This window comes from Homo sapiens, chromosome 17 (assembly GCF_000001405.40).
Source record: "Homo sapiens chromosome 17, GRCh38.p14 Primary Assembly".
Taxonomy (NCBI): domain Eukaryota; kingdom Metazoa; phylum Chordata; class Mammalia; order Primates; family Hominidae; genus Homo; species Homo sapiens.
Genome location: NC_000017.11, coordinates 77,010,533 through 77,028,178, shown reverse-complemented (window position 1 = coordinate 77,028,178; position 17,646 = coordinate 77,010,533).

Here is a 17,646-nt window from a genome sequence, read left to right as displayed (position 1 = left end):
GAGTCACCACTTAGTGAGCATTTCCTGTGCGCCTGGCATTCTTGTTGGCACTGCATATATTATTATTAACTCCTTGAACCCTTGCAGCAACTCCAGGCTGATTTATTACACCCTTTACAGTTGAGGAAACTGATACCCGAGATGTTGTGTAACGTGCTCTTAAACGGGGGGGGCACAGCAGGTACAGAAGTCATCAGCAGGACTGTTGGATGTAGGCGCCAAGGTTGTGCCCAACACACCCTGTGAGGCCTCCCTCTCAAAAGGCTGCCCCTGGCAACTTACCCTGCCCTCCTCTTCCTCAGCACCTTCCCCTCCAGGCCCCTAGAGAGGAACAGGATTTGTCCTCTTCATACTTCTTGTATCGGCAATCTATTGCTGCTTAACAAAGTGCTCGAAAACTTAATAGCTTCAATCAACACTTGTTATCTCAGTTTCTGAAGGTCAGGAATGCGGGAGTGGCTCAGCTGGGGTAGGTTCTGGCTCAAGTTCCCTCTCTGTAGTCAAATTGTCAGGCTGTAGTCAAATTGTCAGCCAAGGCTACAGTCATCTGAAGGTTTGACTGGGACTGGAGAAACCATTTCCAAGATGGCTCCCTCACATAGCTGTGGACTGGAGGCCTCATTTCCTCTCTGGCTGCTGGCAGAAGGTCTTAGTTCCTTGCCATGTGGATCTCTCTCAAAGGCTAATTGAGTGTCCTCAGAACATGGTGGCTGACTTCCCCAAAGGGAGTGATCTAAGAGGAAGTTGCAGTGCCTTTTATGACCTAGTCTCAGGAGTGACAGATGATAATTTCTGCCATATTCTATTTGTTAGAAGTTCCTAAGTTCAGCCCATTCTCAAAAGGAGGGAATTAAACTTCCTTGAAGTGAGGAGTGTAGAAGCATTTGTGGACATACATTTGCTCCTTTTTCTTGTTCTGGGTCCTGGATCTCTTTGGCCAAGTGTCTGGGGTTTGGTTATGTGCAGAGGTGATGACCATGGCTTGGGGGCGGTGGGTTGGGGTATCAGGCCCTGTGATGGGGTAAGACAGGTGAGCATTGCCTCACTTATCTGGAATTGGGAGTGGTTGGCACATCTTTGTTCATCTCAACACATCCTCTTATTTTGTTTTCTATTAAAGGAAGCAGAAGTCCTTGACAGACAGATGGAGGCCACTCCCTCTCCCAACCCCCTCCTCTGAAGATGGCTGGGACAGAGTCACAGGAAAGGGTGGGGGAGAATTAATAGTGTAAACCTGGGGTTTTGAACCTGGCATGCAAGATCCCCAAGGGATTTTTGGATAGAATTTAGGGAGGGCATGCATTTGGATAGAAGAAAAAAATAATTCTCTGTTTTCACAAACCTCTGTCTCATATTTACCATTTCCTCTAATTATAAATGCAGTTGACAAAACACAATAGTATTAGACACACTCTTGACTTTCTCACCAAAAAACAATTACAGATTTTTTCATTCCATCACAGCTGTTGCAGAAATCTTGCAATATCATTTACGCTGATCACTATTACAAAATGACTGTGGTTATAAGGCCATCCACTGGGTTGTACGATTTATGCTTTAGTAAACAAGTACATCTTTCTACATCACAAACTGGGCTTTTAAATATTTTAATAACTGTATTTCCATATGGTTGGCTTTCTTGTGATTGTATGAATTTGTTCTATGCATTTAAAAACTAAGAAGGGACCAAAGACGTCACTAGGCTGCAAAGAGGTCTGGGGTAAGAAAAGATTGAAAACTTCCTGGGTGGAGGAAGAGTTTGGGGAGATACTGAAACCAATGAAAATCAGGAGATTTGACCATTAAGAGCTGCTGGTGACCTTTGACAAGGCAAAGGTGACAGAGGAAATGAAGTGATGGATTTAGGAAACCACTGCCCAGTAAAGGAAGGTGAGGCTTCACACTCACGGAAGGTTTCCTGCTTCATGGTCACTGGTTGTAAATGGTTCATTCCTGCTATCCCTCATTGTGGGTCCAGGAGTCCACCCACCCACCACCACCCCCTCTCCCTCTCACCTTCCACCCCCCACTGCTTGATTTCCTCACTCCATTCTCCAAACTTGTTACACCCATTTGCCCACCATTTTCTTTCCCAGCAATGACCTTTTCCCCTTGCCTACCAGGAGACTTGTACTCATCCTTTAAAACATCACTCTCATAGGGCTGATGATGACCCTGTGCTCACTCACCGCTCCCATGACTGCCTTCTCCATGGGCACATTGTCATGGTTATTTCACAACCACACCATTTCCCTCAGGAGGCTGAGAGCTCCTTCTGTGCCCCAGTTTACTCATTTTTTGAAATTCCAACTCCTGGCACATCGTCTGACAGTTACAGAGCAAATGTTATAAAAATATGGAGTTGTTGGAGCAGTAAATAACACAATACCTGTCTATGTCGAAACAGCCTATAAAAGGCAGCTTGCTCTTCCCTTTCCCCAAATCAATGTACCCTCTTTAATTCATATATTACGCATGTAGAAGTTGAGAAAAATCAGAGAAGCCTAGTTGGGTAGTTTCTTTGAAACCATCTGATATAGTTTGGCTCTGTGTCCCCACCCAAATCTCACCTCGAATTGTAATCCCCATTATCCCCACGTGTGAAGGGCAGGGCCAGGTGGAGGTCATTGGATCATGGGGGTGGTTCCCCCATGCTATGCTCCTGAGAGTGAGTGAATCTCACGAGATCTAATGGTTTTGTAAGTGTCTGGCATTCCCCCTGCTTGTGCTCACTCTGTCCCGCCGCCCTGTGAAGAAGGTGCCTGCTTCTCCTTTGCCTTCCGCCATGATTGTAAATTTCCTGAGGCCTCCCCAGCAGTGCAGAACTGTGAGTCAATTAAACCTCTTTCCTTCATAAATTACCCAGTGTCAGGTAGTTCTTCATAGCAGCGTGAGAATGGACTAATACACCATCCATAATAAGTGACTAATCTCTCTAATTCTTAGCGTCTGCCTCTGTTAGATCAGGGTAATAACGATCCACACTAAGTTGATGTGAGGATTGAAAGAGACAATGTGGGCAAAGTGCTTGGTGCATAGTAAGTGCTCAGTAAAGGGGAGTTCTTATTCTTACTTTTACAAGGCAACATGAAATCTCTGGCAGAAGGGGCTATAAATTGTGTTCTGTGGGAGTTCAGAGGAGAGGGGAAGCACATCTGATGGAGGGCTGGGGAAGATGTGAAAGCAGCAATGGGTCAAGGAGCATAGCTAGGAGCTGCCTGGTGGAAACAGGAAGGCCATTTCCAGGGAGAGACAGGCATGTGGTCGGGTTTGGTCTGGTGTGTCGGGTTCTGGGGGAATAAGCACCAACTTTTCCATCACCCTCAAGCATTTCATTCATACATGATGAAAATGCTGATTGCAAATTTTCTCTTTGCATGCATTCCAGAAGGCAGCAAGAAATTTGACTAGGCAAATTCTATTTTGTTAGCTATGTTGCTGTGGGTATTTTTAAAGTTCTCTTAAAAATCATCCAACAGTCTATAATTCAGCCTCTTGCCTTTGTCAGATAGAGCTCTACCCAGTTAGTCTAAATTGGGGTGGCTTTTGGAAGATGAAAGCTGCCAACCACTTACGGGGACCACCTACTCTTCCTGTTCCCTCTTCAGAGATTACCTGGGAAGCACACAGATGACACCAACCTCTCTCCAGGTGTAGGACTTTGTGGAAAGCGCTAGTCTCTCCAGGCAAATTGCTAGTAGGCTCCAATATTTGTCTTCATCCTTTCACAGACTTCTATGAGCCACCGATGGCTCCAGGTACCAGGGATACAAAAGTGTTCACAGTTTGAACCTTGCCTCTGGTGCTGATGGCCTGAAACTGGCTCCACTCCTTGGGGCAAAGGTCCCCTTCTTCCCTTCCTCCTTGCCCACTGCCACCATCCACATTTCCTATCCCTGTAGGAAGCATAGGCAATTTTAGTGCTCATTAGACCACGGAATGTGGTGGTTAAGAGCATGGAGTCAGTAGTCGGCTGTAGTCCTGGCTTCTCCCCCCATTTTAGCTGTGGGACCTTGAACAAGTCTCTTAGCCCTTGTATTAGGCCATGCTTGCATTGCTATAAAGAAATACCTGAGACTGGATAATTCATCAGAGAAAAGAGGTTTAATTGGCTCATGGTTCTGCAGGCCATAGAAGCATGGCACCTGCTTTACTTCTGGGGAGGCCTCAAGGAGCTTTTAATCATGGCAGAAGGTGAAGTGGGAGCGGATACTTCACATGGCCAGAGCAGGAGCAAGGGAGGCAGGTGCCACATACTTTCACACAACCAGATCTGATGTGAACTTAGAATGAGAGCTCACTTTTCACCAAGGGGGTGGCCCAAGCCATTTATGAGAGCTCCACCCCTATGATTTAAATACCTCCCACCAGGTCCCACCCCCAACATTGGGGATTACATTTTGAAATGAGATTTGGAGAGGAGAAATATTCAAATTATATTATTCCACCCCATCCCCCACCCCAATCTCATGTCCTTCTCACCTTTCTAAATACAATCATGCCCTCCCAATGGTCTCCTAAAGTCTTAGCTCGTTTTAGCATTAACTCAAAAGTCCGAAGACTAAGGTCTCATCTGAGACAAGGCAAGTCCCTTCCACCTATGAGGCTGAGGCTGCAAAATCAAAACCAAGTTAGTTACTTCTTTTTTTTTTTTTTTTTTTTTGAGACAGAGTCTCACTCTGTCACCCAGGCTGGAGTGCAGTGGCAGCATCTCGGCTCACTGTATCTTCCACCTCCCCTCCTGGATTCAAGTGATTCTCATGCCTCAGCTTCCTGAGTAGCTGGGACTACAGGCATGTGCCACCACATCTGGCTAATTTTTTGTATTTTTAGTAGAAACAGGGTTTCACCATGTTGGTCAGGCTGGTCTCGAACTCCTGACCTCAGGTGATCCACCCGCCTCAGCCTCCCAAAGTGCTGGGATTACAGGCGTGAGCTACCCATGCCCGACCACAAGTTAGTTACTTTTAAGATCCAGTGGGGATATAGGCATTAGATCAACATTTTGAAAGGGAGAAATCAGCAAAACAAAAGCTTTCAAACCCCATGCAAGTTTGAAACCCAGCAGGCAGTCATTAAATTTTAAAGCTCCAAAATAATCTCTTTTGATTCCATGTCACACGTCCAGGGCACACGGGTGCAGGAGACAAGCTCTTAAGGCCTTAGGCAGCTCTGCCCTTGTGGCTTTGCAGAGTATAGTCCCCATGGCTGCTCTCACAGGTTGTACCCTGTGGCTTTTTCAGGCACAGGGTACAAGCTGCCAGTGGATTTACCATTCTGTGGTCTGGAGGATGGTGGCCACCTTTCCACAGTATCCACTAAGCAATACCCTGATGGGGACTCTGTGTGGGACCTCCTACTCCATATTTCCCTTTGGCACTGCCCTAGTAGAGGTTCTCTGTGAAGGCTCTGCCCCTGCAGCAGGATTTTGCCTGGGCACCCAAGGTTTCTCATATAGCCTCTGAGAATTAGGCAGAGGCTGCCAAGCCTCCTTCACTCTTGCACTCTATGCACCTGCAGGCTTAACACCATGTTGTAGCCATCAAGGTTTACAGCTCGTGCCCTCCAGAGCAGCAGCCCCAGCTGTACCTGGGCCCCTTTGAGCCATGGCCGGAGGTGAGACAGCCAAGATATGGGGAGCAGTGTCGTGAGGCTACGTAGGACCTGGCCCATGAGACCATTGTTTCTTCCTAGGCCTCCCAGGCCTATGATGTGGGGGCTGCTGTGAAGGTCTCTGAAATGCCTTTAAGGCCTTTTGCACATTGTCTTGGCTATCAATACTTGGCTCCTTTTTTTTTTTTTTTCTTGAGATGGAATCTCACTCTGTGTCCTGGGCCGGAGTGCAGTGGCGCGATCTTGGCTCACTGCAACCTCCACCGCCCAGGTTCAAGTGATTCTCCTGCCTCAGCCTCCTGAGTAGCTGGGATTACAGTTGCCCACCACGACGCCCAGCTAATTTTTTGTATTTTTAGTAGAGACGGGATTTCATCATGTTGGCCAGGCTGGTCTTGAACTTCTCACCTTGTGATTTGCCTGCCTTGGCCTCCTAAAGTGCTGGGATTACAGGCGTGAGCCACCGCACCCAGCCAGTCTCCTTTTCAGTTATGCAAATCTCTCTAGCAAGCAGTTGCTACATAGTCTGCTTTAATTTCTCTTCTGAAAAAGCTTTTTGTCTTTTTTTTCTCTGCCGCATGGCCAGGCTACAAATTTTCTAAACTTTTAGGCTATACTTTCTGTTTAAATATAAATTCCAACTCTAAGTCATTTCTTTGCTCCTGCATCTAAGACTAGGCTGTTAGAAGCAGCCAGGCCACATATTAAATGCTTTTTTTGCTTAGAAATTTCTTCTGCTAGATACCCTAGATCATCACTCTGAAGTTTAAATTTCCACAGATCCCTAGGCATGGACACAGTGCAGCCAAGCTTTTGCTAAGGCATAACATGGATGATCTTTGCTCCAGTTCCCAATAATTTCCTCATTTTCATTTGAGACCTTAGTAGCCTGGACTTCACTGTCCATATCACTATCAGCATTTTGTTCACAACCATTTAACCAGTCTCTAAAAAATTTCAAACTTTCTCTCATCTTCCTGTCTTCTTTTGAGCCCTCCAGACTCTTCTAACCTCTGCCCATTTCCCAGTTTCAAAGTTGCTTCCACAGTTTCAGGTATTTTTATAGCAATACCACACTTCTCATAGCAATTTTTTTTTGTATTAGGCCATTTTTGCATTGCTCTAAAGAAATAGCTGAGACTGGGTAATTTATAAAGAAAGAGGTTTAATTGGCTCATGGTTCTGCAGGCTGTATAGGAAACGGTAATGGGATCTGCTCAGCTTCTGGGGAGGCTTCAGGGAGCTTTTACTTATAGCAGAAGGCAAAGGGGGAGCAGGCATCTCCCATGGTAGAGGAGGAACAAGACAGAGAGTGGTGGGGGAAGTGCCACATTCTTTTAAAGACCAGATCTTATAAGAGCTCACTCACCAACACAAGGACAGCACCAATGGTGCTGTCCAATAGGATGGTGCTAAACCATTTATGAGAAATCTTCCCCCATGATCCAATCACTTCCCCCTAGGCCCCACCTCTAACACTGAGGATTACATTTCAACATAAGATTTGGGTGGGGACAAATATCCAAACTATATTTAGCCCCCACACCTCAGTTTCCCCACCTGTAAAATGGATATAATAATGGCACCAGCTTCACAAGATGACTATGAGCATTTGTTGAACTAACAATTATAAATTTCTTAGAGTAGAGCCTGAGCCAGGGGAGCACCACCTAAACGTTTATTAGATTATATTCATTTATTATTCATTCATTCATTCATTCATTATTTATTAATAGTACCCCACTCTTTCACTCATTACTTTTTCAGTTATTCTTCATGCAATTATTATTGTTCATTTATTCCCTTGGCATTGAGTGCTTGCTGAAATCCAGGCCCTGTCTTCAATAATACAGCCACGAACAAGGAGGCCAGGCTCCTGCCCGGGAGCTTCAGCAAGGGACATTCACACACATGCAATTTGCACCACCCTGCAAAAAGCATCACTCCCACCTTTTTACATTTGAGGAGCTGGGGCTTTGTGGAGGTTGAGTAACTGGCCCGGGCCTCATAGCAAAAGGTGGCAGAGCCAGGGTCTGAGCCTTGAGGCATCCCACTTTGTTAGACGCCTAGGCCTCCTGGGTTCAACTGACATGTTCCCCTCAAGGGGCAGCCTGAGGGGGCCAGGTGCTCAGCCCACCTGCAGGCCCCAAGATTTCCAGTGTCTGCTCTGGGCTGCCTGGGGCAGATGGGAGCAACAGGAAGGAACAGTGGCTGCAGGGGGCCTGGAGTGACCCATGGAGCTGTGCTGAGGCTGCTGATTTCACAAGGCAGCTAGGAAAGTCAACCGCAGAACATGCTTCTGGAGCAGCCTGTTGGGCATTGATGATGGAAACACCCGGCAGTGCGAGATCCGCTGCCCTTTGGTATTCAGCACCCCCACTGCATTGCGGGAGCCAGCAGCCGTCAGGTTAACGTCAGGGACTGAATGTTTTCATACCCCCCAAACTCCTATGCTGAAACCTAATCCCCAACGTGATGTTATTCGGAGGTGGGGCCTTTAGGAGGTGATTAGGTCATTCGGCACAGCCGTCATGAATGGGATTAGTGCCCTTACAAAGAGGCCCCAGAGGCTGGGCATGGTGATTCATGCTTGTAAACCCACAACTTTGGGAGGCCAAGGTGGGAAGATCACTTCAGCCCGTGAGTTCAAGACCATCCTGGGCAACATGGTGAAAACCCATCTCTACAAAAAAAAAATTAGCCAGGCATGGTGGTGCACACCTGTAGTCCAGGTTACTCAGGAGGCTGAGGCAGGAGGATTCCTTGAGCTTGGGAGGTTGAGGCTGCAGTGAGCTGTGTTCGCACTACTGCACTCCAGCCTCTGCAATCAAGCAAGACCCTGTCTCAAAAAAAAAAAAAAAATGGCCCAGAGAGCTCCCTCTTTCCTTCTACTGTGTGAGGACAAAGTGAGGACATCTATGAACCAGGAAGGCCACCTTTCTCCCTGTACTAAGTTGAAAAGTACCCTCAAAAATTCTTGTCCATGGCTGGGCATGGTGGCTCACGCCTATAATCCCAGCACTTTGGGAGGCCAAGGTGGGCGGATCGCCTGAGGTCAGGAGTTTGAGACCAGCCTGGCCAACATGGTGAAACCCCATCTCTACTAAAAATATAAAAAAAAAATTAGCCAGACGTGGTGGTAGGCACCTGTAATCCCAGCTACCTGGGAGGCTAAGGCAGGAGAATCGCTTGAACCCTGGAGGCGGAGGTTGCAGTGAGCTGAGATTGTGTCACTGCACTCTAGCCTGGGCAACAAGAGCAAAACTCTGTCTCAAAAAAAAAAAAAAAGATTTTGAATAAAACTATACCGAATTCATGGATTAATCTGGGGAGAATTGACATCTTTAGGATATTCAGTCTTCTCAAGTATAAATATGGTATATTCCTCCACTTATTTAGAAAAAACTTTAAATACAATTTGCAGTGTTTCAGTGTTTTCACTGGGTTTATTCCCAGGTACCTTATAATATTGTAGCCATTATGAGTGGAATTTCCTTTTCTCTTTAATTTTACTTTCTAATTGGTGAGTGTTTATATAGAGAAACATTCCTGATTTTTGTGTAGTATTCTTGTATCCAACAATCTTGCTGACCTTTTATATGGTTTAATAGTTTGTAAATTATTTTTGGCTTTGAATAGCGACTTTTATTCTCCTTTTTTAGTCCTCTACAGTCACATGGCAGAGATTCTTAGTTGTCCCCTATTATCCATTCTCCCCTCCTCTACAGTAATAGTCTGATGTTTTCTGCCACTAAATATGTTCTTTTTTCCTCTGACACCAAATGTGTGATGTCTTTTCCAACAACAAATGTGTCGTTTCAACACCAACCAATTATCTCCTTCTCCAGCCCCAACTGAGTGTCTGTCTTGGGCCGGTTGGGCTGCTGTAACAAGACACCATAGACTTTGTGGCTTATAAACAACAGGAACTTATTTCTCACAGTTCTGGAAGCTGGGAAGTCCAAGATCAAGGCTCTGGCAGATTCAGTGTCTGGTAAGGGCCCGCTTCCTAGTTCATCTTCCTGCTGTGTCCTCACACGGTAGAAAGGATGCGGGGTCATTTAGGACTCTTTTGTAAGCACACTAACCCCATTCATGAGGGTTCTGCCCTTGACCTAATCACCTCCCAAAAGGCCCTCCTAATAGCATCACTTTGGGGCTTAGAATTTCAACATGTGATTTTGGGGGGACACAAACATTCAGTTCACTGCAATGTCCAGCAATTCAATTCAATTCTGACACTAACTACTACTTGGAGATAGAACAGATCCTACAAGTTAATGGCCTAGTCCCACAAGATTGCCCCCACCAGACACCAGCTGCAAATGGCCCCAGACTACCTGTACTTCTGCTTGTTGGCTACAAATTTGGTTCCCATGACTCCTACCCATGGTTGAATAATTCTCTAGAATGACTCAGGACTCAGAAGAAAGTGCTCTATTTATGATAACAGCTTTACTATAAAGGTACATTTCAAAAACAGACAAATGGAAGTCATGCATAGGGCAAGGTTTGGGAGGGAGAGGGGAGCAGAGCTGCCATGACCTTTCAGGGTTTGTCACGCTTCAGCACCTTGATGTATCAACCTCAAAGCTCCATGAGCCCTGCTATTCAAGAATTTTTATCAGGCTGGCTATGGTGGCTCATGCCTATAATCCTAGCAGTTTTGGGAGCCTAGGTGGGAGGATCCCTTGAGCCTAGGAGTTTGAGACCATCCTGGGCAAGATGACAAGACCCAACTCTACAAAAAAAAAAAAAAAAAAAAAAAAAAAAATTAGCCAGGATGATGGTGCACACCTGCAGTCCCAGCTACTTGGGAGACTGAAGCAGAAGAGGACTTGAGCCCAGGAGGTGAAGGCTGCAGTGAGCTATGATGTTGCCACTACACTCCAGCCTGAGTGATAAAATGAGACTGTCTCTACAGAAAAAAAAAGAGTTTTTATCAAAGTTCCATTTTTGCAGGCATAATTGATTAAATCATTGGTTATTGGTGAACATACTCAGTCTCCAGTCCCCTCTCCCTGCCACAGAGGTAGGGTTTGGGGCTGAAAAGTCCATCCCCCTAACCATGTACGTGGTCTCTCTGGTGACTAGCCCCCATCCTGAAGTCATTTGGGACCCCATCAGGAATTACCTCATTAGCATAAACTCAGGTGTGGTCAATGGGAGTCATTTGAATAAAAAAAGATACTCCTATCACTCAGGAAATTCTAACGGTTTCAGGAGCTCTGTGCCTGGAACTGTGCACAGAGACCAAATATATATTTTTTATTATGCCACAAATAGAAATTCCCATTTTTAGCTGGACATATGACTGCCTAGTTTAAAGACTATACTTTCCCACTTCCCTGTGGCTAAGATGACCACAGAAGTCATGTACTGTCAAGAGAGCGTGGGGGACTGTTGTGCGCAGCTTTCAGAATGTGTCCTTAACGGAAGTGTCAAGAGACTTTTGAACCAGAGTGACTCCATCTTGGATAGGGGCTGGGAAAATGAGTTTGAGGCCTGCTGGGCTGCATTCCCTGGAGGTTAGGCATTCTTAGTCACAGGATGAGATGAGACAGGAGGTTATAAGATGCAGTTCTCAAAGACCCAGCTGAGAAAACAGGATTCAGTAAAAGAGCTGGCCCAAACCTGCCAAATCCAAGATGGCAACCCAAGTGACCTCTCCTTGTCCTTACTGCTCATTATACCCTAATTATAATAGATTAGAATGCTAAAAGACACTCCTACCAGGGCCATGACAGTTTACAGATGCCATGGCAACATCCAGAAATTACCCTAAAAGTCTAAAAGGAAAAGAAACCTCCATTCTGAGAATTCCCCACACCTTTCCCGGAAAACTCATGAATAATCTATCCCTTGTTTAGCATATGATCAATAAATACCATAAAAACAGCCAACCAGCTGGGCGCGGTGGCTCATGCCTGTAATCCCAGCATTCTGGGAGGCTGAGGCAGGCGGATCACTCTAGGCTAGGAGTTCAAGACCAGCCTGGCCAACATGGTGAAACCCCGTCTCTACTAAAAATACAAAAATTAGCCGGGCGTGGTGGCCGGCGCCTGTAATCCCAGCAACTCGGGAGGCTGAGGCAGGGGAATTGCTTGAACCCGGGAGGCAGAGGTTGCAGTGAGCCATTGTGCCACTGCACTCCAGCCTGGGCGACAGAGAGAGACTCCATCTCAAAAAAACAAAACAAAACAAAAAAACAGCCAACCAGCAGCCCTGAGGGCTGGAGTAGCCTATGGAGTAGGCATTTTTCCATTCCTAATTTTTCTATTCTTAATAAACGTGCTTTCACTTTACTCTGTGAACTCATCCTGAATTCTTTCTTGCAGGAGGTCCGAGAACCCTCTCTTGGGGTCTGGATTAGGACCCATTTCCAGTAACAAAAGGGGCAGGTTCTTCCTCACTTTCTCCACTCCACTGCCAGGAATGGGGCATGGTGGCAGGCCATGGTGGACTATAGGATGAGGGCAGCACTCCATGATACATGGAGGCCTAGACGGACCATGATGGATGGTGGACCATAGGATGAGGGCAGGTCTGCACGATAGATCTATTGTATTGTTTTATGACACATACAGTCTAGGTCTCTGCATGATCTCATGAAGATCAAGTGCCAGCCCCGGGCCACCTCCAGATACTCATGTGAAAAAGAAATATCCATTTCAGTTTTTTTTTAAAATAGCTTTATTAAAAACTTTAATTGGATCACTTGAGGTCAGGAGTTTGAGACCAGCCTGGCCAATATGGCAAAACCCCATCTCTACTAAAAATATTCTTTAAAAAATATTAGCCAGGTATGGTGGCGTGCACCTATAGTCCCAGCTACTCGGAAGGCTGAGGCATGAGAATCGCTTGAACCCGGGAGGTGGAGAATGCAGTGTTAAATGTCTCCTGGGAAGCAAAATCGTTTCCCTCCCTCACTTTGTTTAAGTCACTATCAATTCTCAGTGGTGTCAATTAAATCAAGACAAATAAAAAAAATTTTTTTTTTTTTTGAGACTAAGTCTCTTTCTGTCACCCAGGCTGGAGTACAGTGGTGCGATCTTGGCTCACTGCAACCTCTGCTTCTGGAATTCAAATGATTCTCCTGCCTCAGCCTCCCGAGTAGCTGGGATTACAGGTGTGCGCCACCACGCCCAGCTAATTTTTGTATTTTTAGTAGAGACAGGGTTTCAGCATGTTGGTCAAGCTGGTCTTGAACTCCTGACCTCAAGGGATCTGCCCACCTTGGCCTCCCAAAGTGCTGGGATTACAGGCGTGAGCCACCACACCTGGCCCTTAAATGAAGCCAAATATTTATCCAAAGTAATTTTTGCTGTTATAATTGTTTCTTATGTCGGCCGAAAATTTCTGTAAAATATTAAATTAAAATGATGAAGCAGACATACTTATTTTGTTATTGTCTTTTTTTTTTTTTAAGAGATGGGGTCTCACTATGTTACCCAGGCTGGTCTCAAACTCCTGGTCTCAAGTGATCTTCCCACCTTGGCCTCTCAAAGTGCTGGGATTACAGGTGTGAGCCACCGCCTGGCCTCAACTCTAATCTTTATTTATTTTGAGACGAAGTCTCACTCTGTCACCCAGGCTAGAGTGCAATGGCACACCAGGGTTCAAGTGATTCTCTCGTCTCAGCCTCCTGAGTAGCTGAGATTACAGGCATGCATCACCATGCCTGGCTAATTTTTTATATTTTTAGTAGAGGGGGATTTCACCATGTTGGCCAGGCTGGTCTCGAACTCCTGACCTCAAGTGATCCACCCGCCTTGGTCTCCCAAAGTGCTGGGATTACAGGCGTGAGCCACTGCACCCAGCCTAAAGAAAATAATTCTAATGTCTTACCATTAAGTGTGATGCTTTAAAGAATGTGACAGAATTTAAAAAGTTTATTGATTTGTTTCAAATTCTACATTGAAACTAACTTTTAAAATATATAATAGTGGTACACATGTGGGGGGTACATTATGATGCTTTTTTTTTTGGTAGGGTTTTGGTAGATGTTTCATATTGGTTTAAGAACGTTTCTATCTATTCTTGTTTGCTGAGAATTTTTAAAAATCACAATTGGGTATTACATTTTATTAAACACCCTTTTTGCATCTAATAGGATGAGCATATGGACTTTCTCCTTTAATGTTTCAATGTGGTGGATTTCTTTAGCAGATATTTTAGTGTTCGACTGTCTTTAAATTCCTGAGTTAAAGTCTTCATGTTCATAATGAAGTGTTTATGTCCAGATTGCCTGATTTGCTTTGCTAATTTTGATTTGAGATTTGTGTGTCTGTGTTCATATTTTTCTTGCAGGCATCATTCTTGCCTGCTTCTGGCATTAATTTATGTCACCCTTTTAAAAGCAGTTAGGGAGCCCCTCCTGCCCCTATCCCAAGAAACTTCTATGGAACAATTTGTATGTGATAGGAGTTATTTGCTCCTTAAAGATTGGGTAAGACTCATCTGTAATGCTGTCTGACTTGGTACTTTTGTTGCAAATGGGTTTGTGACTACTGATTTAATGTTTGAATGCTTACAGATTTTCTGCTACTTTTTTAAGATAGTGTTGATAATTTCTACTTTTCTATGCATTTTTCTATTTCATCTGTTTTAAAATTTTTTGCCACAAATTTTTTTAATAGTCCTGTTTTTGTTTTTCTAAAGAATTCTGCTGTATATTCCTTCCTTTGTATTCATGATATTTATATGTGATTTCCCTTTTTTCATAATCTTTATTTCCAAAAGTTCTTCTACTTTGTCTTCTTGAAGAATTAACTTTACATTTGTTAATTCTATCTTTTGTACATTTTCTGTTTCATACATTTTTGTCTTTATCTTTATTATTTTTTTTTCCTTCCATTCTTTTTTTATTTTGGGGGTATTTTTTCTCATTTTTTTGTGTTGAATGCTTGCCTTATTAATTTTCACTATTACTTGCTACTGAATGTTTTTTGTTTGTTTGTTTGTTTGTTTTTTGAGATAGAGTCTTGTTCTGTCGCTCAGGCTGGAGTGCAGTGGCATGATCTCAGCTCACTGCAACCTTCAGCTCCTAGGTTCCAGTGATTCTCCTGTCTCAGCCTCCTGAGTAGCTGGGATTGCAGGCACCCGCCACCACGCCCAGCTAATTTTTGTATTTTTAGTAGAGATGGGGTTTCACCATGTTGGCCAGACTCATCTCAAACTCCTGACCTCAGGTGATCTGCCTGCTTCAGCCTTCCAAAGTGCTGGGATTACAGGAGCGAGCCACCACGCCCGGCCTGTAATGAGTGTTTTAAATTATTCTTTTTCGCAATTTCTAAAAAATGGAGACAGGGTCTCGCTGTGTTGCCCAGGCTTGTCTGAAACTCCTGGCCTCAAGTGATCCTCCTGCCTTGGCCTCCCAAAGCAACTGTGTCCAGCCTCATTATTCTTATCGCCTTTAGCTGTATCCCACGCGAGGGTACGCCATTCTTTCACTGCCATTTACTTCTAAATGTTTGATACTTGTATTATGATTTATCTTTTGGATTATTTAGAAGTATGCTTTTTAGCTTCCAAGTATTTGAGATTTCTCATTTTATTATTTAGCATCAGAAGAGGCAGTCTGTATATCAGTTCTCTGGTGTTTATTGAAATTTCTTTTGTAGCCTAATATCTAATTGTTTTCAGTGTCAGGCGTGTGTTTGAAAAGAATATTTAGTTCCGAAGGGTGCAGCAGTTCATGCCTATAATCTCAACACTGGGAGGCCGAGGCTGGAGGACTGCTTGAGCCCAGGAGTTTGAGACCAGCCTGGGCAACATAGCAAAACTTTGTCTCTATAAAATAAAATAAAACAGCCGGGTGTGGTAGCACATGCCTATGGTTCCAGCTACTCAGGAGGCTGAGTGGGGAGAATTGCTCGAGTCCAGGAGGTCGAGGCTGCAGTAAGCCATGATTGAGCCACTGCATTCCACCCTGGGTGACAGAGCAAGGCCCTGCTTAAAGAAAAAAAAAAAAAGAATATTTAGTTTCTATGTATGTCTAAATCAAGCTTGTTAGTTGTGTGGTTTAAATCTTCTATATTCCTACTAATTTAAGCTACAGTTTTGTAACAAAGATGTTAAAATTTTCCACTATAATTGCAAGGTGGTTTCTCCTTCAGTTTTGTTTCTATAGTTGAGACCAAATGGTTAGATGCGCAGAGGCTCAGGATTAGTACAGTTCTTGAAGAATTATTTATTTTATAATTGACTAGCAACTTGCTTTTTATCTTAATGACTCATTTGTCTGGTATTAATATTGCTATACCAGCTTTCTGTTGTATACATATTTCTTTCAACTTTTATTTTTAATCTTTCTGTGTTGTTCGGGTTTAGTTGTATCTTTAAACTTTTGATGGCCAGGTGTGGTGGCTCATACCCGTAATCCCAGCACTCTGGGAGGCCAAGGCAGGTGGATCACGAGGTCAGGAGTTCAAGACAAGCCTGGCCAACATGGTGAAACCCTGTCTCTACTAAAAATACGAAAATTAGCCGGGCATGGTGACACGCTCCTGTAGTCCCAGCTCCTCGGGAAGCTGAGGCAGGAGAATTGCTTGAACCCAGGAGGCAGAGGTTGCAGCGAGCCAAGATCGCACCATTGCACTTGAGCCTGGGTGACAAAATGAGACTCTGTTTCAAAAAAAAACAAAAAACAAAAAAACTTTTGGATAGATGGATTTTTTTTTCATTCTAGGAGTCTCAGTCAATTAATAGGCAAGTTTAATACATTTACTATTATTGTAATTACTCATATATTTGGACTTACTTCTGTTAACTTACCTATCAGTCTTTTCTCTAATTTTGTCCTCCCATCTTGCACGTTATTATTGGCTAGCTTTTTTTCTTTTCTTTTTTTTCAAGACAGAGTTTCACTTTGTCACCCAAGCTGGAGTCCAGTGGTGCGATCTCGGCTCACTGCATCCTCAACTTCCCAGGCTCCAGTGATCTTCCCACCTCAGTCCCCCAAGTAGCTGAGATTACAGGCATGTGCCACCACACATGGCTAATTTTAATATGTTTAATAGAGACAAGACCTTGCCATGTTGCCCAGGCTGGTCTTGAACTCCTGGACTCAAGTGATTTGCCCATTATTGGCTAATATTTTATTTTTACTTTTTTTCTTCCAGTTTTGTAGTCAATTATCACATTTTATTCGTCCCCTGAATCTTGATGTTGTAATGAGGCTATACTGCCCCCATGTGGTACGGACTGCCCAGGAACTTTATTCTGAACTAGTAGTCTGCAAACTTGCTGTAAAGGGCCAGTTAGTAAATATTTTAGACTTTGAGGGTCTATAGTCTTTTTTCTTTTTCTTTTCTTCTTTTTTCTTTTTGTAGAGATGAACCCTCACTATGTTGCCTAGGCTGGTTTCAAACTCCTGAGTTCAAGTGATCCTCCTGCCTCAGCCTCCCAAAGTGCTTGGATTACAGGCATAAGCCACCATACCCGGCCAATTTCACTTTGTTTTTAATCTTCTGGGCTAATTGTCATGATCATTATTAATATTAGTATTATTTATAGCAATGCTTGTTAGGTTAACTATCATTTAAATTCTCCTGGATTTAATTTCCACTCCAAGGGAAGCAAACTTCTTAATAGTTCATTCAGTGAGGATCCATGAATGGTAAATTCTCTGCCTTTGTCTGAAAATGTCTCCATTTTAGCCCTCCCTTTTGGATGATAGTTTAGCTGGGCATATAATTCTAGGTTAACAGATACACTTCTTCAGTGCTTTGAAGATATTAAAGGCTTGTCTTCTGGCATCCATGGACAATGCTGAGAATTCTATTAATCAAAGTGTTATTTCTTTTTAGGCAAGTAGTTTTATCTCTTTGGTTTCTTTTTTTGTTTGTTTGTTTTGTTTTGTTTTTTCATTTGTTTATTTTTGAGATGGAGTCTTGCCTTCTCGCCCAGGCTAGAGTGCAGTGGTGTGATCTCAGCTCACTGCAACCTCCGCCTCCCACGTTCAAGCGATTCTCCTGCTTCAGCCTCCCGAGTAGCTGGGATTACAGGCACACGCCACCACACCCGGCTAAT